The sequence below is a fragment of the Homo sapiens genome, chromosome 1, assembly GCF_000001405.40.
Source record: "Homo sapiens chromosome 1, GRCh38.p14 Primary Assembly".
NCBI lineage: Eukaryota > Metazoa > Chordata > Mammalia > Primates > Hominidae > Homo > Homo sapiens.
Window position 1 is genome coordinate 175,085,228 of NC_000001.11, and position 25,199 is coordinate 175,110,426.

General features: G+C 46.4%; 1 protein-coding gene across 3 annotated transcripts in view, besides 1 other annotated feature; it reads left to right on the forward strand.

Moving 5' to 3' along the window:
* Positions 1-25,199, forward strand: part of TNN (tenascin N) — an 80,243-nt gene that overhangs the window by 17,395 nt on the left and 37,649 nt on the right. For all 3 annotated transcript variants that reach the window (NM_022093.2, XM_017002048.2, XM_017002049.2), the window contains exons 6-9: positions 178-267; positions 8,763-9,026; positions 12,190-12,456; positions 13,105-13,368. In NM_022093.2, coding sequence (NP_071376.1) covers positions 178-267; positions 8,763-9,026; positions 12,190-12,456; positions 13,105-13,368 — 885 coding nt within the window. The remainder of the gene's footprint in view (positions 1-177; positions 268-8,762; positions 9,027-12,189; positions 12,457-13,104; positions 13,369-25,199) is intronic.
* Positions 14,752-14,952: a silencer, noted in NCBI's record as "peak471 fragment used in MPRA reporter construct". NCBI's record gives its function as "represses an SCP1 promoter by STARR-seq MPRAs in K562 erythroleukemia cells {active_cell/tissue: K562}" and the evidence as "EXISTENCE:reporter gene assay evidence [ECO:0000049][PMID:32103011]".

Below are 25,199 nucleotides of genomic sequence, written 5' to 3' on the forward strand. Positions count from 1 at the left end.
CACCTCATGTTCTATTGCACCTGCGGGGCTTTATTTGCCTGCAAATACAGATTCATCTTTGGAGGAGGAAGCATCACCTCTCATCTTCCCTCACGGGAGAAATCCCAGGGAGGAGTAGTGCTGGGGAGAGGGGTCTGGAGCCTGCACTCACATCCTGCGCTGCCTGCTTGTTTCCAGGTCTGCACCCGGGGACTGAGTATAAGATCACGGTGGTGCCCATGAGAGGAGAGCTGGAGGGCAAGCCGATCCTCCTGAATGGCAGGACAGGTGAGAGCTACTTGGAGGCACTATGGGCATTTAATCATGTTTGCATTCTCATATTTTTCTTGGCTGACTCCTCTCTGGATAAGAATTCTGGGATTTGCAGACAGACGGGGTGGCTCACGCCTGTAATCCCAGCACTTTGGGAGGCCAAGGCAGGCGGATCACCTGATGTCGGGAGTTCGAGACCAGCCTGACCAACATGGAGAAACCCTGTCTCTACTAAAAATACAAAATAAGCTGGGCGTGGTGGCGCATGCCTGTAATCCCAGCTACTCGGGAGACTGAGGCAAGAGAATTGCTTGAGCCCGGGAGGTGGAGGTTGTGGTGAGCCGAGATCGTGCCATTGCACTCCAGCCTGGGCAACAAGAGTGAAACTCCATCTCAAAAAAAAAAAAAAAAAAAAGAGAATTCTGGGATTTACATGTAGAGAGAGTCTATCCCTTTATGTACTGATGTCTATTTTTGGGCAGGGAAAGGGAAGCAAACTTTTCCTATTTCAAATTTTTCTTGCCATTGAAAATCTCTCCCAGGGTCTTGGAGTCAAGGGACAAGACTGTCTGACACCGTTCTGCTTATTTTAATAGCTTCTATCACCGCGTTGTTTTTAAGGCATTTATTATCTAGGACATAGGCACATAGCTCCTTATTCCCTAAAGACAAGTGATCTATAATTTTCTTCTTGCCACACCTGTGTTTTTTCCTGATGCCCACATTCAGTAGACTCCTCTAAAATGTCAAAAGATATTAAAAACCCTCACATGGGAGTAGTGGTATGTTGTCATCTGTGTATTGAGAAAATATATAATGATAAAAGGTTACAAATCAGTCATATTTGACAATAAGTTTGTAATTTATTAATCAGAACAGAATTGGAAAACATGGTAGGCATACATACGAGACATCCTAGGTAACTTTTAGTTTTTAAACCATGCTTGAGCCCATATTGAATTGTGAACTTCCTCATTAACTCTGTGCTCCTGCCTTCCCCATGCTGGAAACCTGTGATCTAGAACATAGTGCCATTCGGGGAGACTAATCCTTGGAGCTGGTAAAGAAGGAGTCTTTGAGTTTTGAGTCTTCGTTGAAAAGTTTTTTAGTTCTTTCCAATTCAGTCCTGGAAATAGCTGGTTATGGTGGTGAGAATAAGAGGTGAGATGTTGTGAGAATTGAATTCACTATTTCAGCTGCCTAACAGATTGCTTATCTGCAGTATGAAACAGTTATAGTTGGGCATTTATAATGGAGAACATATAACTTAATTTACAAACTAGACAAGGTAGACTGTACAGTCTGCCTGAATAGTGGACTAGGGAACTGTTTTAATGGGTTAGAAAATGGTAAGTACTTCTGTGCTTCCAGTGGCATTCCCTGTAGCTGTGAATTAATTGAGAGCTTACTGAGTGCCAGGCATTATAATCACTAAGCACTTTTTATGAATATCTCATTTAGTTCTCACAGCAATCCAATGAAGTAGATACTATTATTATTTCTCTGCCACATATAAGAAAACTGGAGAAGTTAAGCTCAAGATTGCCCAGCCAGGAAAGGACAGAGCTGGGATTTGAACCCAGGATACCCAAGTCTAAACCTTTGGGCTTAGCTACTGCAAACCAAAAAGTATCTGAGATAGGCCTTAATCAACTTAGAAGTTTATTTTTCCAAGGTTAAGGACATGCCTGGGAGAAAGAAACATGGAATCACAGAAACAATCTGTGGTCTGTACCTTTCTCCAAAGATGATTTTGAGGACTTCAATATTTAAATGGGAAAAGTGGGCTGAAGAGGAAATAGGGAGGGTATAATTCCCATGTTGGAAGAGAAAGGAGCAGGTAGCGGGATAGTCAATTACGTGTTGAGTACATTTGCACTTTTCTCAGGATAAGGTGAACGTGGAGTAGCTACCTGTGGAGATATTTAACCTTTTATCCGGCGTAGGAACAAAAGGAAAGGCAGCTTCTTGCATAACTCAGCTTTCAGCTTTATTTTTTCCTTTTGGCAGAGTGAATTGGGGTCCCGAGTTTTTTATTTTCATTTCAAACTACAAAGCTAAAGTGCTTCCCACTTTTACCTTCCTGTAAGAGATAAACACTTTTTCTTCTCTTACACAGTCAACACAACACAGAACATTTCACCTCTGGAAGTGATTTTTCCCCATACACCAGGGAGTTTTCCATCGGACACAAACTGGATGTTCTATAATTCAATTCATATCTGACATTGTCTCCCTGGAAATAGCCTCAGATCCCACAAGTTAAAGGCCCAGTCCCACAAGACTTTCCTCACTTCAGATGCCTGTCACAGTCCCCAGGTTAGGACCTGTACTTCTGACCAATCAGCTAGAAATTGGGGGTTCTTATGACTCCCCTCCTTGAGTTCCATTAATTTGCTAGAGCAGCTCACAGAACGCAGGGAAACACTTTACTTACGTTTACCTATTTAGTATAATAAAGAATATTACAAAGATCCAGGTGAAGAACCAGATGGAAGAGATGCATAGGTCAAGGTACGTGCTTCCATGGCCTCTGTGGGTGTGCCACCCTCCCCAAACCTCCACTTGTTCAGCAACCAGGAAGCACTCTGAACCCAGTCCTTTTGGGTTCTCATGGAGACCTCATTATATAGGAATGATTGATTACATCATTGGCCACTGGTGATTAACTCAACCTTTAGCAACTGTGAGCGCCTCTCTCCTTCCCCTTGTTAGGGGGGTGGGTAGGTGGGGCTGGTAGTTCCAATCCTCTAATCACAATGTTGGTTCCCTGGAAACCACCCCCTTTCTGAGGCTACCCAGGAGCACCCCTCAACCCCTTACAGCAGTCATCTCATTAACATACAGAAGACACCTCACTTTGGAGATTCCAAGGGTTTTAGGAGCTGTGTGCCAGGAATCAGGGACCCAAAACCAAACATGTGTTTCTTGTTATAAATCATAACATCACACCTCCCCTCCTTCTTGCCCATTATTTCTGGTTAATTTTCATACTGTTTGCTTCCTAACTGAAAAATTTTCTATGATTCCTCACTGACTGAGGAGGAAGCATAATGCTTTTATCTTGGCCTCCGTGGCCCACCCAGCCTGGGCCACTGTTATTCTCATTACTTCCCCAGGGAAAGCCTTCCTGTAGCCAGACTGTTTGTGGGGTTTCCTAACAGAAAGCTTATCTCTGCAAGTGGGTTTCTGTTGTTACTTAGCCTGGAAAACCCTTGCCATTATTTCTAGCCACAAATTAATTTAATTCAACAAACATTTATTGCAGGATGTATCTGGGCCAAAGAGACCTGGTCCCTTTAGAAATTTCCAGAGCTGATAAGCCATGGTCCTTTTCCTTCAGGGGATCACAGCAATAATGTGACGTATCCTTCCAGGCTGTGCTCAAACAGTTTCTCCACTGCAGCCTTCTATGACCGCATTAAATGTCAGCCAGATTTGTTTCTGAGGTCTGAGAGCATTTAATCACATATGGCCTTGAATTGCTAGTTAGCCTTCCACCTATACTGGAATGTTGTTACTCAAAAGTGTTTTTATTGTCAATTATATCCTAAAACCAGGATAGAATATTTTATTGGATTGCAAATAAATTTGTGTCATGTGTTTTACCAGCATCAAAAAGAAAAAGACACTGTAATTTATAGGGTCAGGAAACACTCTTAAACCTGGCTAGACTGTTAATTAATTTAAGGGAAAAGAAGAATCTCTGTTTTCTCCAAACGTTTTGCATCCCACCAGGTGGAAAAGGATGCTGGAACTTAAGAACAGCCTAAGCATGTGCAGGAGGAAACGAGGAAATGACACCGTTCAGGGATTTTTCATGTAACGAGGCACCCAGTGTAACTAACACCATGACAGGGAAATGGTTGACTGAAATTCCTCACCCTGTTACCCAACATGCTCAAAGTGCGCTGGAACACCTTCCAGAAAGGCCAGCCTCAGAAGCAGGTCAGCTTAAGGAGCAGCAAGCATACGCCAGGCCAGTGTCTCTGGGGGATTGGCGAGGGGAATGTCCCTGGACTTCTGCATCATACCCTGACAGCTATGCTTCCCATTCAATGAAAAGAAAGGGAGGCTACTAACTGAGAGGTGATGTCATTCTTTTGTCCTCTATCTATAAAATGAAGAGTTGGACTAAATGAGTTTAAAGTCCTTTCTCTTTTCTTATGATGATGGTATTCTGTTAATAGCTTCATGCTTTTCCCTGGTGTGTATAAAACAAAGCATGCTTGCTTTGTTATAATTTCACAAGCTCCCATGCACAGCAAAGGTTATAGCCTAGAATATTCACTTGTCATCAATTTTCTCAGAACTTTCCTCCTTAGACTATGCTGTGAAATAGCAGTTTTGCTTTTCTTAATATCTTTTTCACTTTTTACTGATTTCCAAACACAATGTTCCATTTGAAATGGCTTAGCCCCTAAAACTTTGGAAACTCCTTCATGTCCTAGGCTGAGCTCCTGTCACCATTGAGAACTCCTGTCTCATACACAGCCACCAACACACACATTTAGCATCTGGACAACAGCAACAATCTCTATCATTTGCGCGATCACTGTATTCTAGTGGGCTTCTGTATATTGTGAGACTTTGTAAATATTATCTCTGGTCCTTATAATATCAATAGGATTGTAAGCATTATTATTTCCATTTTACATATGAGAACACTGAGGCCTACAAAGTTTAGGAGACTCAGGGTGAGCTAGTGAACAGCTAGCTGGTACAACTTAGGTTCGCTTGAAATCAAAGTCAATAACCTTTTTAGAAGCAAAGCTGGAGGACAACAGGAAGAAGGGCTGACCTCTCTGAGTGCATTTTCTACAAACGATGCCTTTTGGATAATTTTGTTGCCACAATTGAAAGACATTAGAGGAGGTCTGTGAAAACAAGAGTACAGAACGTGTAGGTATTGTGGTCTCAAGGCACCTCTTCCAGGAACCCACCTTCAAATCAATGACACAGGTCCTGCCCCCCGTGTCTTCCTCCCCCAAGATCATTTCTCATAGATTTTTCATCCCGTCAGTGCCATCTTCTACTGCACCAACTGGGAGATTCACAGGTGGAAATTGTGAGTGGAGAAACCTGTTCCTAATGCCTGTGACTATGTGCTCAAGTGTGGACAGGAGCTTTCGGATGTTACAGCCTAGTGTGAAGACAGATGTTCCCTACCCAACTCTGTGGCAAATCTTGTTATAAAGTGGAATAAGCTTTCCTGATGTGAACAGAGCTTCTAATTAACCTCCTCCATATACTGTGTTCAGGTTTTGCAAATTAGATCTCTTTGAAGTGAAGTGCACCTTTATTCTAACTAACGTATGTACTCACAGGCGAGTCCCACCTATCCAGTTTTACAAACCTTACTTTACATCTCATTGACCTTGAATGTCCCTAAGAAAGGTCCCACCAGGGCTGCTAGTGTCCAGCAGTTGGGAAGTTCCAGCCTGGGGAGGATGTTGGGGCCAGGGTGGGGAGAGCCTGTCTTGTAGTAGAGGCTACAGCTGTGGCTAATCTGTGATTTAGCCAGCTGCTGCAGCTGCTGAAAGGCTTCCTTGCATGGAAAAACTATTTCATAATCTCCAGATCCCTTTTTGGTAGAAAGAGGTTTCAGTCCTGCAAAGCTGGCCTCTTCCAGCAATGTGGCCTATCATGGAGGTCCCATCTCTGAGGCCTTCCTCCCATTCCTGTGTCTCAGCACCTGATCCCCATCGGGGGAATGGTCAAGGAGAGCAAGCTCTGTGAAGAGCCCCTTCTGAGTTGAGTTGCTGTGGTTAGAGAACTGAGAGAAAAGGGAAGGCAGGGGGCCAAGAGCTGTGACTGGCACTGTGAGCTTGGAGAAGTCACATCTCCTCTCTTAAACTTCTTTAAACCTCCAGGTCTCCTATAACCCTGGGCATAATATGATTCAGTTTTACCTTCCTACTCTTCATACCCAAGATGCTGTTTCCTGGCTCTTCTCCATCCCTTGAGTGCTCTGGGACTGGTGGGAGAGAAAGGAGCTACAGAGCTGGCTGCTGCTTCCTCTTTCCACCCATGTGGACATGATGGATCTTTCCTTTATTTATTTACTTTTATTTATTATTTTTATTTATTTATTTATTTATTTATTTATTTATTTATTTATTTATTTTGAGACTGAGTCTTGCTATGTCACCTAGGCTGGAGTGTGGTGCATGATCTCAGCTTACTGCAACCTCTGCCTTCCAGGTTCAAGCCATTCTCGTGCCTCAGCCTCCCGAGTAGCTGGGATTACAGGCATGTACCACCCTGCCCGGCTAATTTTTTGTGTTTTTAGTAGAGACACGGTTTTGCCATGTTGGCCAGGCTAGTCTCGAACTCCTGGCCTCAAGTGATCCACCCAGCTTCACCTCCCAAAGTGCTGGAATTACAGGTATGAGCTGTTGTGCCTGGCTATGATATATTTTTCAATACACACAGGCAGCACCAACCCCACAAAGCCACAGGCCTCTGCTGTGGGTCCTGGAAGCAATGGTAGCAAGCACCAATCTGGGGCAGGGAGATGGGGTGGGAGGCACTGCTGGGACCTGGGGTTGTACAGATGTGGATGCTTTTGAGAAGGTGAGGGCCATGAACTTCACGAGCAGGACTGCTAGGGTGTTCTTGCTCGCTTCTTCCTGCCTCCTTAGTTTTCCATTTCCACTTTGTCACTAATTTCCCCAGATTGAGATATTGGTTTTGGATGGCTCTTGTCATCTCTTCCCTATGACATGCAGGATCATGTCTTGCACAGAAAGTTGTTACAGGATGGGGAGAGAGTTCTCTCTATCGTTGCACTCTTTTCCTTGACTGTCCTCTTACAGCCTGCTGGAGCCTCCAGAGGCCCTGGCCATGGGGTCAGACAGTGGGTGCCTGCATCCTAATTGTCCACTCTGTCATTCCTGGAGGCCCACAAGTGGCAGACTATTGGCTCTGAGCTCACAGTGCCAGTCACAGTGAGACTATTGTCTCACAAGGCAATAGTTCAAGAACGAGTTTCTCTCTCTAGTTACTGTCTATTACTGCTGCTGGATTTCATGTCACAGTAACCTTTCAGTTCACACTTTACTTTATTTATAATTTATTATTATTATTAGTTGCAAAGGAAAATGCTATTGATAGTGCTGCTTAGGACATAGACATATAAAGTGGAAATGTATAGTCTTTGTTAGATAAGAATGAGTTCAAATCTTGGCTCTACCACTTAATGTATCCAAAAGCAAACGCTTGGTCCTCTTCCTCTCCCCACTCCCTACTGCAAATGCTTCCCTCCCTCAGATATCCCTGTCTCTATAAATGGCCACTCCATTTTGCAAATTACTTGGGCCCCAAGCCAACAAATCATTCATTGTATCCCATGTTGAATCCATCAGCAGATTATGACAGCCTTACCTTTGAAAGCTCCAAAGCCAGCCTTCCCCATGACCCTCATTACTGCTGCAGTGGCCTGCACCCCCACCATCTTGCATATACACCACTGAAGCAGCCTCCTGTGTGACCTTCACTCTTGGTTCACTAGAGTGAGTATTCTCCTCAGAAGCCAGAGGGATCCTTTGATAGCCCAAGTCAGATCAGGTCATTCCTCTTTTCAAAGCCCCCAGAGACTTCTCTTGTTACTTAGTGTAAAAGACAATGTCATTACAATGGCCTTCAAGGCCATCCATAGTCCACTGTCCCTCTCACTTCCCTGGCCTCCCCTCCAGCCGCTTGACTTAACTCTGTCTAGATGCACTGGCCTCCTTGCTGTTGCTTGAACACATGAAGCAGGACCTTGGGTTAGCAGGGACATGTGTCAAAGAAAAAATGAGAGATTTTCTAAGGTCATGGGCTCAGGATATGTTCTTGGGAAGCACAGTCTCTAGGACACAGCTGGCATATTGTTCTGGGTTAGTTCTTTTTGAATATAAGCTCCACATTGGTGGGGATTTTTGACTGTTTTGCTCATTGATAACTCTTAAATGTCATTACATTCCCTGACACATAATGGATGTTCAGTGAAGTGCTGTTGAATGAATGAAGTGAGTTTTGGAGATTTGTATTTGAAAAGAGAGAGAAGAGCATGTGTAGATAAAAGTGCCAGGCCTGGAAACTGTGATTTGGAAGCAATGAACAGGGGAGGTGATGTTGTTTTGATTTGAGGAGAACTAGGGAGGGGAATGATGACTCTTCTTGAATACTTGCTGGTTGGTCTTCTGGAAGGGGAATTAGATGTATTCTCTCTGTCTACCTAGGGTAGACAATTAGAAGGAGTTACATTTGAAGGAGTTTTCTCTAATATGTTCAGTAGTCTGCAAATGGAAAATGGAATGGATTGTGTTGTCTATTGGAGAGTCCTTTCTTAGTTTAGGGTTCAAGCAGAAGCCAGTTGTCCACTTGTCACTGATGATGGAGAGACCCCCTTGTATTGCATAAACTATTGAACTAGGTCACCCAGGTGAACTAGATCTTTAACAATCTATGATCTTGACTAACCAACTGGTTTCTCTGATTTTTCTTTCTCATGTGTTTTTATGAAGAAATTGACAGTCCAACCAATGTTGTCACTGATCGAGTGACTGAAGACACAGCAACTGTCTCCTGGGACCCAGTGCAGGCTGTCATAGACAAGTATGTAGTGCGCTACACTTCTGCTGATGGGGACACCAAGGAAATGGCAGTGCACAAGGATGAGAGCAGCACTGTCCTGACGGGCCTGAAGCCAGGAGAGGCATACAAGGTCTACGTGTGGGCTGAAAGGGGCAACCAGGGGAGCAAGAAAGCTGACACCAATGCCCTCACAGGTAACAGAAGGACGGGAGCATAAATAGGTTTCCTCATGGCAGGGAGAAGGTTGATTTTTGAATCAGGAGGTCATTGCTCACCTGGCATCAGCTCTTTTGTTTGCAGGAGTGGGGAGGAGGTTGCAAAACCAATTTTGATTTTCATAATTATATATATTTTTCCTTTTTAACATCAAACAAAAGAGATCAGCTTTTTCACTTGATGCAGAAGGTCATACTTATTTGAGTTGGAATTCCGTATGCAACCCCCTCAGAATAGAGTAACACTTCCTAATTTTCATTTTTTAGATGTGAAAACTCAAAACATTGGGCTGACAGTGAATTTGAATGCTTATCTCAGTTTGCAGTGGCTGTGCAGGCACTTTGCATATAATCTGGAGCTCTCTTTTAGACCGTGGAAATAGTTTGCATCCTAAGTCAACATTTACTAAATGGACCAATTCTTCCTTTAAGCTTTCAGAAGCCATGAGGGTTCTCATACTTCACCCAGTCATTCTGCTCAGTTTGCGCCTGCAGGGGTCCTGGGACTATACTGGGACATAGCCCAGCCATTCTTTCTGCTTAAATCCTCTCCTGGTGCTTCTCTGAATTTAGAGCAGCCTGATCCTGGTGCCCGCATGAGGTTCCAAAACACCTGGCAGGAAATCAGAGGGAAAGGCTTCGCTTATTGTTTGCATTCTATTCTGGACAGTTACTGAGTATAGAGACTCTCAGAGAAGCAGAGAGATGGTTAGGAATATGGTTTCAGAAAATTGACTGTCCAGGTTTTAACCCCAGCTCTGCCATTGACTAGCTGAGTGGCTTTGAGCAAGTTACTTTACTTCCGTTCCTGTTTCTTATGGCACAAGTGAGAGCAATGATTTTTTAGAATGTTAATCAGTATTTGGCTCTTGAAAGATTTCGTGGTGCACAGCCTCCTAGATCCATGTGGGCCTCAATAGTTGACCTCTTCTTCAGGGGAGCAGAGAAGACATTGACAGTAAGGATGGTGATATCTAAATCTGTTTAAAGTCAAAGTCAGCAAATTTCTGTAAAGGACCAGATAGTAAATATTTTTGGCTTTGGGGGTCCAACAGTTTCTATTGCAATTACTTAACTCTGCCATTGGAGCATGAAAACAGCCACAGACAATGATGTGTAAATGGACTGGTGTGACTGTGTTCCGATAAGACTTTATTGATAAAGATTGACAGTGGATCAGATTTGGCCTGTGGGTTGTAGATTGCCCCTCCTGGTTTACATTACACGTGACTCTCTGTTTACTAGGATTTTGAGTGTCGTGAAAAGAAAGAGCATTTGGGTCAGCATTTTTGTTTGTTTGTTTGTTTTGTTTTGTTTGAGACAGAGTCTCGCTCTCTTGCCCAGGCTGGAGTGCAATGGCGCAATCTGGGCTCACTGCAACCTCCATCTCCCGGGTTCAAGCGATTCTCCTGCCTCAGCCTCCCAAGTAGCTGGGATTTCAGGCACCCGCCACCACGCCCAGCTAATTTTTGTATTTTTAATAGAGACGGGTTTTCACTGTGTTCCCCAGGCTGGTCTCGAACTCCTGAGCTCAAGCAATCCACCCTCCTCGGCCTCCCAAAGTGCTGGGAAATACAGGCGTGAGCCACCACGCCCGGCCCATTTTTAAAACAAAGGAAGTTGGAATAGAGAAGAACCTTCCCTTTTCTTAGGCGGTGGTGGTGTGAGCAGCAGGGAGCCTCTGGAGGGTGGCATTGCCACTGGGAAGGGGTCAGACCAGAGCTGAGCTCTGGGGGCACAAACATGAAGGAAGTGATTCACGCCTGTATGGCATTCACAATCCTCTGGGTAGAGAAGACAAGTTAAAAAGATAAAGGACAGTGAGTTATGTTCTAGAGCAAACAAATGTCCCTGGAGCTATGGGAAACTGAAGAAAGGGGACCTACCACAGACTAGGACAGGATAGGGGTCATGCAGGCTGTGGGAGGAGGTGACACCTGAACAAAGCCTGGAAGGACGGGTGGGAGTTAGCAGTGGAGGCAGCATATGCAGAGGCTAAGTTGTGAGAATATGACAGGTTAGGTCATCTCAAGGGGTTTTAATGGAGGGCCGGTCTGTGTGTTTGGTGCACTAGTGAAGGATAAGCCAGCTCAGAATCCTGGGTGCTAAATCATTTGTCCTCATGTCAGATGTCTGTGGTGCATGCTGAACTTTGCTCCCTAGGGTGAGTCACTGCATGTGGCTGTGCATTCCACCATGCTGGCCTGTCCCCCTTGGCAAGTGGTCCTGTGCAGGTATGAAATGCAGGTGCTGTCACAAAAAGTACAGCCTTTTTTGAGGAGGTAGTTTCTAAAAGAGGATAATAAAGTCATGCTAACCATACACACAATTGCTTGGATTTTTGACTCCCTAAGGATGTACATTTTGAGGAGAAAGTGGTATTTCATGCCTCAAATGCCATTAATAATAACAACTTATATTTAAGCATTTGCTATGCAATATCTCATTTACTATCACCATAACCTATGAGGTAGGTAGTGGTATTTCTTTCTTCATAGAGTTGAGGAGACAGACACTTAAATTACACGGCTTGTCCAAAGTTAGCCACCAGGAAGAGATGGAGCCCAGGTTCTAACCCACTTTAATCACAGAGAAACCCAGACAGATTCTACAAGTTTGATTCTTTTTATTAGACCAGACCTCAGATACTATCAATTAAAAAGTCTCCTGGTTCCCTGGCCACAGATGTAATGTTTTATATGGAAAGAACTGATGGCTACTACTTCTAGGATATTTTTCTTCTCAAAGAACATATTAGAGCAGATGCAGAGGTTTATTCAGTATAATTGCTTTCTAGTACAAGGAGTCAGGAACTAGAAGAATATGTTATATAAATCCAGGGTAAAGGAGAAATTTGAATGTGAAGACCAATTATTTTTATCCCAAAGCGACTTCCGGGAAAAGTTTATAGAGTTGATAAAGATGCTGGCTTTGTCTGAAAACTCCACTTCTTATTAAATGTTATTAGCTTATTACTGGAATTTCAGACCATTTGCTTAATTAGACCTTTACATTAACTCAATCATTGACATATTAGAGACTCTGACATTTGTTGAGGTTATCACTTTGACTGTGTTCGTGCTGTCTTTATGGAATTAGAGGGTGGTAAAGGCTACATTCTTCTTTCATCTCTCTCTTAAAGAAATTGACAGCCCAGCAAACCTGGTGACTGACCGGGTGACTGAGAATACCGCCACCATCTCCTGGGACCCGGTACAGGCCACCATTGACAAGTACGTGGTGCGCTACACCTCTGCTGACGACCAAGAGACCAGAGAGGTTCTGGTGGGGAAGGAGCAGAGCAGCACTGTCCTGACAGGCCTGAGGCCAGGTGTGGAGTACACAGTGCATGTCTGGGCCCAGAAGGGGGACCGAGAGAGCAAGAAGGCTGACACCAACGCCCCGACAGGTAACAAAAGAGAGATGGTCAATTGGAATTGAGTTTTAGCTTGTGGATTTGAATAGGTATGGTATCAAAGGATGTGGCCTGAGCAGAAAGACTTTGCAATTAGAAGTCTTAAAGATGAAAGAAAGACTGAGCTCTCGTGGTGATGGCGGTGGGCTGCTCTTTCCTGACAGTGATGAGCTGTTCATGAGACCACTTGGCCCACTGAAAGAGAGAAGTAAAGTCTTATAGTAACAATGCTTTTAGCAGAAGATGGGTACAGGATCTGGTCATTGCAGTGCTTGTGATAATATTTTTAGAGTGCTCATCAGTGAAGTAGCCCTTGATAAAATGTTATGTTAGGAACCCTAAATGTCATGGCAGCTGTTTAATTGGAGGTTGTGATGTGCCATATGCTGCTGAGAAGACATCGTTCCTCCAACATTTTAGGGAACTGAAAGCCAAGAAAGAATGCCTCATTTATAATGATTCCTCCTTTGAAGTTCAGAACCAAGGGCTACTTTCTCCTTAGACTCCCAGCGGAGACTCAGGATGAGAATGCCATTGCCTTGTTCTAAAAGAGCTCTGGAAGATGAAAATGATGAAGATGGGGGTAAGGATATGTCTTCCATGGCTTCAGAGCTTAAACCTTTCCAAACATTTTCCTTCCAGATATTGACAGCCCCAAAAACCTGGTGACTGACCGGGTGACAGAGAATATGGCCACGGTCTCCTGGGACCCGGTGCAGGCCGCCATTGACAAGTACGTGGTGCGCTACACCTCTGCTGGTGGAGAGACCAGGGAGGTTCCGGTGGGGAAGGAGCAGAGCAGCACAGTCCTGACAGGCCTGAGACCGGGTATGGAGTACATGGTGCACGTGTGGGCCCAGAAGGGGGACCAGGAGAGCAAGAAGGCCGACACCAAGGCCCAGACAGGTAAGGAGTGTGCATTATTGCTGTGCCGATGCCATGCTCAGGGTCTGTCTACATGGGGTTTTCTTCTCTGACCTTGGCATAAAGGGGGACTTTATGGAAGAGCAGGTTGGTATCCTCCCATAATACATTGTGTCCCCCTCACTTCCTTTTACTGGCCTCTCTTAGAATGCCTAAGTGGTGGTCTCCAAACTCTGGTCTTTAAAGATGGCTGATCACTGCACATAGTTCTTTGTTCTTTCTTTGCCTGAGTACCTTTGTCATTAACACACTAACTGCTTCTCCTTGACAAGGAGTAAATATTAAGAAGTAACTATCATGCTGAGGGAGCCAGACTTAGGGATTGTGATCAATCCCTTAAAAAAAATTCCTCACCTGTTTAAACCCTTTGCAAGCTTGTTTGTTTTTGTTCCTGCCATCTGAATGAATGTTTTAGGCAGAAATAATAACAGTGTTTCCATTAGCTAAAAATAAAATATCTAGTCATTTTTAGTCCCCCAGATGTAATTATGTCTATTTTCATGTAATAGTCCCTACTTCCCTACATGAAATCTTCTCCTCTCTCTCGACTTGGGCCACCTGTGGGCCAGCTGCCTGCTCCAGGCAGGGGACATGCACAATTTCTCTTGTATTTTCTGCTGTGTACCTCAAGCACTGCTCTTCTAGCTTGCTGTATGCAGTTTCTCACCCATTTATCTTTGGCGTTGCTGGGAGAGGTAAACTGATGAGAGGTGAGGGGTGAGGACGGGCAGAAGTGAAGGGTCAGGAAGGAGGAGAGGTGAAGGGTCAAGGGGAAGGAGAGGTGAGGGGTCAGGAGGAGAAGAGGTAAGGGGTCAGAGGAGGAGAAGTGAGGGGTCAGTAAGGAGGAAAGGTGAGGGGTCAGGAAGAGGAGAGATGAGGCATCAGGAGGAGGACAAGTGAGGGGTTGGGAAGAGGAGAGGTGAGGCGTCAGTAAGAGGAGAGGTAAGGGTCCTGGAAGAGGAGAGATGAGGGCTCAGGAGGAGGAGAGGTGAGGGGTCAGGAGGAGGAGAGGTGAGGGGTCAGGAGGAGGAGAGGTGAGGGGTCAGGAGGAAGCGAAGTGAAGGGTCAAGAGAGAATAGAGCCCAGGGGTTAGGGAGGAGGGAGCTGGGGGTCGTGGAAAGTCATGCTTGACTGTAACAGGTGTTTGGGCCTGCCCTGGAGCCTGACGAGTGCTAAAGCTGACTCGGTCATGAAGCACTTCTGTGCTCCTCTTCTACTTGGGTCTCTCACTGTAGGCAAATGCCTGTCTTCCACTGGTCTCTTACTCCCCTTCCTCTGCCAATACATCAGGGGTTCCCCCAGCGCCTCTCTGGTGGGGTTGCCTTGCCCCTCTAGGTGGTCCTCTTGGACAGCTTCCCAGGCCTACCTTGCTGTGCTAGGCCCAAGTCTGGTCCATGGAGAACCTGCATGCATCCTTTGTCCATTCAACCAGATGCACAGCTCTTTTGCAATGCTACAGCCTGTCTTTGCTCTGTGTCAGAGCAACCAGCTATTTTCTTATCTCTTAGATATTTTAGCATATGTCAGACACCAGCCCGTATGATTCCCCAAGCTTTGGGCTTTCTCACCCTTGGCACTATTGCTATCTTGGGGTGGATAATTCTTTGCTGCAGAGGTCTATCTTGTGCATTGTAAGATGTTTAGCAGCATCCCTGATGTCTCCCCCTATCCCACACTGAGTTGTGACAACCAAAAGTGTCTCCAGACATTGCTGACTGCCCCTGGTTGAGAACTGCTGCTCTAGGGTATGCAAAACAAAGTCTGTAAGGGATTCCATTGAAAACTGCTTATTCAAGGCTTGGGCCTCACCCATGGGACTCACAGTGTATCTTTTTCCAAATAAATCCCTTCTTCAAGTCCCACCTCACTGGCTTCTCCAATGTCTTTTATAGGGCGAAAATGATTGGTCAGCCAAGGGTCACAAAACTGTTGTTGATCTTGCCTTGACTGTGGTTCCTCAGGTTGGAATGTAGATATCCATTTTCTTGGGGTTACAGCCTAAAGCAACATGTGTAATAGGACGTATGAGCAAGTGACTTTGGGAAAACGGCTTTTGCAATGAATTATTTAGGACAAAGAAATGCTAGTTTTTTTTTTTGGTGAATGTATTTTTAAGTATCTTCTATGTATGTGGTATGGAGGAACATAATTTCTTGTATTTATAATGTATCAACAAACTGGTGTTAATAATGATAGCTTATGGTCATTGGGCATCTACTCAGTGCTAAGAACTCATAATAGACATTTGTTTCTTTTTTAAAAAAATTGATACATAATAATATACATATTTATAGGTACATGTGATGTTCTAATACATGCATGCAATGTGTGATGATCAAATCAGGGTAATCAGGATATCCATCAGCTCAACATTTGGCATTTCTTTGAGTTAGAAACATGTCAAATCTTCTCTTCTAGCTATTTTGAAATGTACAATAAATCATTGTTAACTGTAGTCATCCTGTGTCCGGAATTGGTGGGTTCTTGGTCTCACTGACTTCAAGAATGAAGCTGCGGACCCTCGCGGTGAGTGTTACAGCTCTTAAGGTGGCGCATCTGGAGTCTGTCCCTTGTGATGTTCAGATGTGTTCGGAGTTTCTTCCTTCTGGTGGGTTCGTGGTCTCTGGTCTCGCTGGATCAGGAGTGAAGCTGCAGACCTTCGCGGTGAGTGTTACAGCTCTTAAGGCAGCGCGTCTGGAGTTGTTGGTTCCTCCCGGTGGGCTCGTGGTCTCGCTGGGCTCAGGAGTGAAGCTGCAGATCTTCGCGGTGTTACAGCTCATAAAAGCAGCGTGGACCCAAAGAGTGAGCAGTAGCAAGATTTATTGCAAAGAGCGAAAGAACAAAGCTTCCACAGTGTGGAAGGGGACCCGAGAAGGTTGCCAATGCTGGCTCGGGCAGCCTGCTTTTATTGTCTTTTCTGGCCCCACCCACATCCTGCTGATTGGTAGAGCCGAGTGGCCTGTTTTGTCAGGGCGCTGATTGGTGCGTTTACAATCCCTGAGCTAGATACAAAGGTTCTCCACGTCCCCATCAGATTAGTTAGATACAGAGTTTCTACACACAGGTTCTCCAGGGCCCCACCAGAGCAGCTAGATACAGAGTGTCGATTGGTGCACTCACAAACCTTGAGCTAAACACAGGGTGCTGATTGGGGTATTTACAATCCCTGAGCTAGACATAAAGGTTCACCAAGGCCCCACCAGAGCAGCTAGATACACAGTGTCGATTGGTGCACTCACAAACCTTGAGCTAAACAGAGGGTGCTGATTGGTGTATTTACAAACCTTGAGCTAGATACAGAGTGCCGATTGATGTATTAACAATCCTTGAGCTAGACATAAAGGTCCTCCACGTCCTCATCAGAGCAGCTAGATACAGAGTGTCGATTGGTGCACTCACAAACCTTGAGCTAAACACAGGGTGCTGGTTGGGGTATTTACAATCCCTGAGCTAGACATAAAAGTTCTCCAAGGCCCCACCAGAGCAGCTAGATACAGAGTGTTGATTGGTGCACTCACAAACCTTGAGCTAGACACAGGGTGCTGATTGGTGTGTTTACAATCCCTGAGCTAGATATAAAGACTCTCCACGTCCCCACCAGACTCAGGAGCCCAGCTGGCTTCACCCAGTGGATCCCGCACTGGGGCTGCAGGTGGAGCTGTCTGCCAGTCCCGCGCCATGAACTTGTACTCCTCAGCCCTTGGGTAGTCGACGGGACTGGGTGCCATGGAGCAGGGGATGGTATTCGTCGGGGAGGCTCGGGCTGCACAGGAACCCACAGAGGTTGGGGAAGGCTTAGGCATGGCGGGCTGCAGGTCCCGAGTCCTGCCCGGCGGGAAGGCAGCTAAGGCTCGGCGAGAAATCGAGCGCAGTGCCGGTGGGCTGGCACTGCTGGGGGACCCAGTACACCCTCCGCAGCTGCTGGCCCGGGTGCTAAGCCCCTCACTGCCCGGGGCCAGCAGGGCTGGCCGGCTGCTCTGAGTGCGGGGCCCTCCAAGCCCATGCCCACCTAGAACTCCAGCTGGCCCGCAAGCACCATGCGCAGCCCTGGTTCCCACTCGCGCCTCTCCCTCCACACCTCCCCGCAAGCTGAGGGAGTGGGCTCCAGCCTTGGCCAGCCCAGAAAGGGGCTCCCACAGTGTAGTGGTGGACTGAAGGGCTCCTCAAATGCTGCCAAAGTGGGAGCCCAGGCAGAGGAGGTGCCAAGAGCAAGTGAGGGCTCTGAGGACTGCCAGCATGCTGTCACCTCTCAATCCCCCCTCTAAACAGGACACCCCAACTGCTGTTGGCAATTTGGCCGATGACCACTCTAGCTACTTCCTGCTGGATGGGGCAAAGAAGGGGCCCTGCAGTTGCGGTGTCCTTCAGAGGGGAACTCTCTAGGCCAGGGGAAGTGCCAGTGGGTTGATCCAGGGGTCCTCGGTAGAAGTTGTTAGTTGAACTCTTTTGGGGTTCCATTTGTAAGACCATCTGTAGCTTGATGGCCTCGATTCTAGAGGAAACAAATTTGACAAGAAGGTTAAAAATACAGGGCCCAAAGGCGAGTAACAGCAAGATGGCTGCCACAGGACCTAGAAAGGGGAGAAGCCATGTTGCCTAACTCCAGAAGTTGGTATAAGAATTTGAAAGGCGTTGTCTGATTTCAGAAGCCTTTTCCTGTAAACTCCGGGCAGCATCTCATACTATCCCCGACTGGTTAGTGTAAAAACAACATTCTTCCCCTAAGAAGGTGTAGTGTCCTCCTTTTTCAGCAGTGAGGAGGTCTAGGCCTCTGCAGTTTTGGAGAGTCACTGCTGCCAAAGAGTCTATTTGGGATTGTAAAGTAAGGATAGATTTCATTATTTCTTGCAAACTGTCTGAGAGGCAGATATGGGTTGAAGATCCACATAAGTAGAATATGCCTTGGCTGGGTAGATAGAAATTTACCCTGGCTTTTAAAGGAATGGGATATGCTGTTTTTTTCTTTACTACTTCTATCTCTCTCTTTCTCTCTTCGACTTCTTCTTTGTCTTTTCCTTTCTTCTTAACTTTTTTTTTGACTTTCTGTGTCTGTCCCTCTTTCTGACTCCTTTTTTTTGTCTCTGTTTCTGACTACCTCTTTGACTTTCTGTCTCTTTGTCTCTTCCTCTCTCTGTCTCTTTCTCTGACTTTCTCTTTCTCTCTTTTCTTCTTGCTGGTCTTTCCCTACCTCTGCCAGCCGCTTATGCTGCTGTTCTCCTCTCTCCTTCCCATTTTGATGGCTTTGTCAGTGTAAGATTCCTACCTCTTTGTGTTTTTTTGCATTACGTGACTGTGCGGGCATTTTTTTGCCCTTCTAAATTGTCCTTCCAATGCCCAGACTTCAGTGTTGATTCCCTCCTCAAGTAGGGGACAACAAATGGGTAACTTGTTCCCCATATTTATGTAGATAATAGCTCCAGCCTTGGCTAATATATCCCTCCCTAATAAGGGTGTGGGACTTTCAGACATAACAAGAAAGCCATGTGAAAAGAGCAAAGTCTCCCAATTACAACTGAGGAGGTGGGAGAAATACCTGATTACAGGCTGTCCCAGGATTCCTCGGATGGTAACAGACCTTGAGGACAGTTGTCTAGGACAGGAGATTAACACTGAGAAGGCCGCGCCAGTATCCAGGAGGAAGTCAATTTCCTGGCCCTCAATAGTTAAACATACCCAGGGCTCAGTGAGGGTGATGACATGAGCTGGTGCTTGCCCCGGGCACCCTCAGTCCTGTTGTTGGATCATCTGGTTGGGGGCTTCTAACCCAGGGAACCTTCATCCTCTGGGGCAGTGCACCTTCCAGTGATTGCCTCGGCATAGTGGACACGGATGAGGGGGCAGCTTGTTTCTTATTGGACAATCTTTTTTAAAGTGTCCTAGTAAACCGCACTGATAACAAGCCGTACCAGGTGATTGGCCTGCTCCATTTTCTGACCTCTCTGAACCACCAAGGTTTGTTTGTCTGAGGGCCATGACTAAGGCTGCGGCCTTTCTCTGATCTCGCTTTTCCTTTTGGGCCTGTTCCTCTTGGTCCCTATTATAGAACACCAAGGTTGCCAGGTTTAATAATGTCTCTAGATTTTGTTCAGGGCTCAGGGCTTGCTTTTGGAGCTTTCTCCTGATATCTGTGGCTGATTGGGTAATAAACTTATCTTTTAGAATCAATTGACCCTCGAGTGATTCGGGTGACAGGGGAGTATATTTTCTTAAGGCCTCTTGTAGCCGCTCGAGGAAGGCAGAAGGATTTTCTTCCTTTCCCTGGGTTATGGTGGATATCATTGAATAATTCATGGGCTTTTTCCCAATTCTCCTTAGTCCTTCCAGAACACAGATCAACAGATGTTTACGACTCCAGTCCCCATGATCTGAGTCAAAGTCCCAGTGGGGATCCATACTGGGGATGGCTTGCTGACCAGTAGGGAAGTTGTCCCTTTCTTCGGCTGTCATTCTTTCATTTACTTGACTAGGATACCAGGTATCTCCAAACTCTCAGGCTGCAGCTAAAGCCGCATTCTTTTCATTAAAGGCCAGGGTTTGATCTAACAGTAGCATGACGTCTCTCCAAGTGAGGTCAAAGGTTTGCCCTAGACCCTGTAGGACATCTATGTACCTATCAGGATCATCTGAAAACTTCCCCAGGTCTGCCTTGATCTGCTTTAAATCAGAGAGGGAGAAGGGGACATGCACCCGGGTTGGGCCAAATTCCCCTCCCCCTACAGCTTGAAGGGGACATAACCGATAGCCCGGGGGTTTTTGTGGACCTTTGGAGATTTCTTTGCTTATTTCCTTCTGGGCAGGGGAGATTAGAGGAGGAGTATCATCAATAGGAAGGGAAGCTATAGGGAGGCTAGGATATGGGGGTAAGCTGAGGGGTCCTCCTGTGGGATGTAAATTGCAAGCTTTGCATAGTTGTGTATTCTCCCTCAATGAAAAGAAAGCTTGGACATAAGGTATTTCACTCCATTTGCCTTCCCTCTTACAGAAAAGATCAAGCTGCAGGATAGTATTGTAATTTGTGCTTCCCTCAGGTGGCCATTTTTCCCCATCAGAAAGAGAATATTGGGGCCAAGCCGTAGTGCAGGAAAAAATGAGCCTCCTCTTTTTCAGGGTTTGTGGGTCAAATTGGTCCCAATGGCTTAGGATGCATTTCAAGGGTGAACCTGTTGATGCCTGAGTGTTTCCCATATGAAAGACAAAACCGCCCACAGTTTTGGTTTGTTTTGTTTCTCTCCCTGCCCAAGGACCTGCAATGGTCCTGGGACCCTGCTGATCAGAATAGTTGCATTCACCAATGCAGCAGCAGAAACAACCCCTGCCCAAGAACCTGCAACGGTCCCTGGACCCTGCTGACTTGAATAGTTGCGCTCACCGACGCAGCAGCAGAAACACTAGTTTTCCTCCCAGACCACATGGAGGACCGAGGAAGGTCGGATTTAGTGGTCCTTACTGACGCATTCTCGAAAACCTGCACCCTTGCCTGTCCTCCTAGACCACAAGGAGGACCGACTGAGAAAAATCAGATTTAGTGGCCCTTACTGACGCATTCTCAAAAACCTGTTAGAGTCCTAAGCATTCTCCTGTTAGTATTGGGACTTTACCCCATCCTATAAAGATGTTATGCCACAAAAATGAAATGGAGGGCCATACCCTGAGGGAGGGAGGGGATCTTCAGGGTTGGAAGAGTGACACCTTTTGTTCTCACTTATATGAATAGGAAGGATACAATTTCTGAGGCTCCCCATATCCTAGCTTCAGGAATAACTTTTGTTAGGCCTGTTAGTCTGAGGAGGGATCCTAAAATTCCAGGTAGTCCCCACTACGATGGGGCCTTGGGCAAAAACTGTGTCTTTCTGATTGGTGAGCCCGGGTGCCTAAAGAAGGTAACAGAGTCCTGGAGTTTATACTAGAAATCATTCTTATAGGAGAAACTAGAAAAGCACCAGAGACAGGTAGCAATTTTTAGAAGCGGGTCTAGCCTCAGAGAAGAGAGGCGAGAGGAAGTTTGTCTGGCAGGCATTAGGACCCAGAGGGCAAGGGTCAGGATAGATAGGATAGATAGGCGAGTGTCGCTTGGGCGACATGCTTTTGAGAGTTCCACTCATGGCCGCAGGGTCAACCAACATGTTGTCGGGACCCCGGAGATGCATGGCTTTCCTCACTGTCAACCCACGGCTCAGCCCAGAAGTACAGGAAAAGCGGAAGCTGGTTCTAGGCAAACCAACGGTCCCAACTCCAAAGAGTTGGGGGTTGTTAGAGAGCCCTTTCCCAGAAAGCTTGACACCCGTGTCTTTAGTCCGGCGGCCCGCTAGTCACTTTTAAATGGCTGACAGATGCCCGGTATTTAGCCCCCGAATTCTAAAGAAAGATAGGACAGAATAGCAAGTGAAAGGGGTCCGATGGTACTCACTGCTTGGCGATTGGGAAAGGTCTCACCGCTCGGCTATTGTCTCACCGCTTGGCGATATGCGAAAGTCCCTTCGTGGTCGCCAAAATGTGTCCGGAATTGGTGGGTTCTTGGTCTCACTGACTTCAAGGATGAAGCCGCAAACCCTCGTGGTGAGTGTTACAGCTCTTAAGGTGGCGCATCTGGAGTCTGTCCCTTCTGATGTTCAGATGTGTTTGGAGTTTCTTCCTTCTGGTGGGTTCGTGGTCTTGCTGGCTCAGGAGTGAAGCTGCAGACCTTCGTGGTGAGTGTTACAGCTCTTAAGGTGGCGCATCTGGAGTCTGTCCCTTCTGATGTTCTGATGTGTTCGGAGTTTCTTCCTTCTGGTGGGTTCGTGGTCTCGCTGGCTCAGGAGTGAAGCTGCAGACCTTCGTGGTGAGTGTTACAGCTCTTAAGGCAGCACGTCTGGAGTTGTTCGTTCCTCCCAGTGGGCTCATGGTCTTGCTGGGCTCAGGAGTGAAGCTGCAGATCTTCGCGGTGAGTGTTACAGCTCATAAAAGCAGCGTGGACCCAAAGAGTGAGCAGTAGCAAGATTTATTGCAAAGAGCGAAAGAACAAAGCTTCCACAGTGTGGAAGGGGACCCGAGAAGGTTGCCAATGCTGGCTCGGGCAGCCTGCTTTTATTGTCTTTTCTGGCCCCACCCACATCCTGCTGATTGGTAGAGCCGAGTGGCCTGTTTTGTCAGGGCGCTGATTGGTGCGTTTACAATCCCTGAGCTAGATACAAAGGTTCTCCACGTCCCCATCAGATTAGTTAGATACAGAGTTTCTACACACAGGTTCTCCAGGGCCCCACCAGAGCAGCTAGATACAGAGTGTCGATTGGTGCACTCACAAACCTTGAGCTAAACACAGGGTGCTGATTGGGGTATTTACAATCCCTGAGCTAGACATAAAGGTTCACCAAGGCCCCGCCAGAGCAGCTAGATACACAGTGTCGATTGGTGCACTCACAAACCTTGAGCTAAACAGAGGGTGCTGATTGGTGTATTTACAAACCTTGAGCTAGATACAGAGTGCCGATTGGTGTATTTACAATCCTTGAGCTAGACATAAAGGTTCTCCACATCCTCACCAGAGCAGCTAGATACGGAGTGTTGATTGGTGCACTCACAAACCTTGAGCTAAACACAGGGTGCTGGTTGGGGTATTTACAATCCCTGAGCTAGACATAAAGGTTCTCCAAGGCCCCACCAGAGCAGCTAGATACAGAGTGTTGATTGGTGCACTCACAAACCTTGAGCTAGACACAGGGTGCTGATTGGTGTGTTTACAATCTCTGAGCTAGATATAAAGACTCTCCACGTCCCCACCAGACCAGGAGCCCAGCTGGCTTCACCGAGTGGATCCCGCACTGGGGCTGCAGGTGGAGCTGCCTGCCAGTCCCATGCCATGAGCTCGTACTCGTCAGCCCTTGGGTGGTCGATGGGACTGGGCGCCGTGGAGCAGGGGATGGTATTCGTTGGGGAGGCTCGGGCTGCACAGGAACCCACGGAGGCAGGGGAAGGCTTAGGCATGGCGGGCTGCAGGTCTCGAGCCCTGCCCCGTGGGAAGGCAGCTAAGGCTCAGCGAGAAATCGAGCGTAGCGCCGGTGGGCTGGCACTGCTGGGGGACCCAGTACACCCTCCGCAGCTGCTGGCCCGGGTGCTAAGCCCCTCACTGCCCGGGGCCAGCAGGGCTGGCCGGCTGCTCTGAGTGCGGGGCCCTCCAAGCCCATGCCCACCTAGAACTCCAGCTGGCCCGCAAGCACCATGTGCAGCCCTGGTTCCCGCTCACGCCTCTCCCTCCACACCTCCCCGCAAGCTGAGGGAGTGGGCTCCAGCCTTGGCCAGCCCAGAAAGGGGCTCCCACAGTGTAGTGGTGGGCTGAAGGGCTCCTCAAATGCTGCCAAAGTGGGAGCCCAGGCAGAGGAGGTGCCAAGAGCAAGTGAGGGCTCTGAGGACTGCCAGCACGCTGTCACCTCTTAATCCTACTGTGCTATCAAACACTAGAATGTATTTCTTCTATCTAACTGTATTTTTTTTTTTTTTTTTTTTTTTTTTTGAGACGGAGTCTCGCTCTGTCGCCCAGGCCGGACTGCGGACTGCAGTGGCGCAATCTCGGCTCACTGCAAGCTCCGCTTCCCGGGTTCACGCCATTCTCCTGCCTCAGCCTCCCGAGTAGCTGGGACTACAGGCGCCCGCCACCGCGCCCGGCTAATTTTTTGTATTTTTAGTAGAGACGGGGTTTCACCTTGTTAGCCAGGATGGTCTCGATCTCCTGACCTCATGATGCACCCGCCTCGGCCTCCCAAAGTGCTGGGATTACAGGCGTGAGCCACCGGGCCCGGCCTATCTAACTGTATTTTTAAACCCTTAAGCCAACCTGTGTTCATTCCCCTTACTCCTACACTTCCTAGCCTCTGGCAACCATCATTTTATTCGCAACTTCCAGGAGATCAATTTTTTTAGCTCCCACATATGAGTAAGAACATGCAATGTTTGTGTTTCTGTGCCTGGCTTATTTCACTTAACATAATAACCTCCAGTTTGATCTGTGTTGCTGCAAAGGAAAGGATTTTATTCCTTTTTATGGCTGAATGGTATTCTGTTGTGTATGTATATGTGTATATATATATTATATATATATATACACATACATATGTATTATATATATACACACATACATATATATATATCAAAATTTCCTTATCCATCCACTAGTGGACAGTTAGGTTAATTCAGTATTTTGGTTATTATGAATAGTGCTGCAGTAAACATGGGCATGCAGCTATCTCTTTGATATACTGATTTCCTTTTTTTTGGATGTATACTCAGCAGTGAGGTTGCTGGATCATATGGTACATCTATTTTTAGTTTTTTGAGGAAACTCCATGCTTTTACTCATAGTGGCTGTACTAATTGCCATTCCCACCAGCAGTGAACTAGTATTCCCCTTTCTCCACATCCTCACCAGTACCTGTTATTGTTTGTCTTTTTGATAATAGCAGTTTTAACAGGGATGAGATGATATCTCAATGTGATTTTGATTTGCATTTCCCTGATGATTAGTGATGTTGAACATTTTTTCGTAAATGTTTGTTGGTCATTTGTATGTCTTCTTTTGAGAAATGTCTATTTAGATCATTTGCCCATTTTAAAATAAGATGATGATGATGATTGTTATTATTATTTTGCTATTGAGTTTGAACTCCTTATGTATTCTGTTTATTAATACTTTATCACATAGACAGCTTGCAAATAGTTTCTCCCATTATGTAGGTTGTCTCTGCATTCTGTCGATTATTTCCTTTGCTGTGCAAAAGCTTTTCAGCTTGATGTATTTCCATTTGTCTATTTTTGCTTTTGTTGCCTGTGCTTTTGCAGTCTTA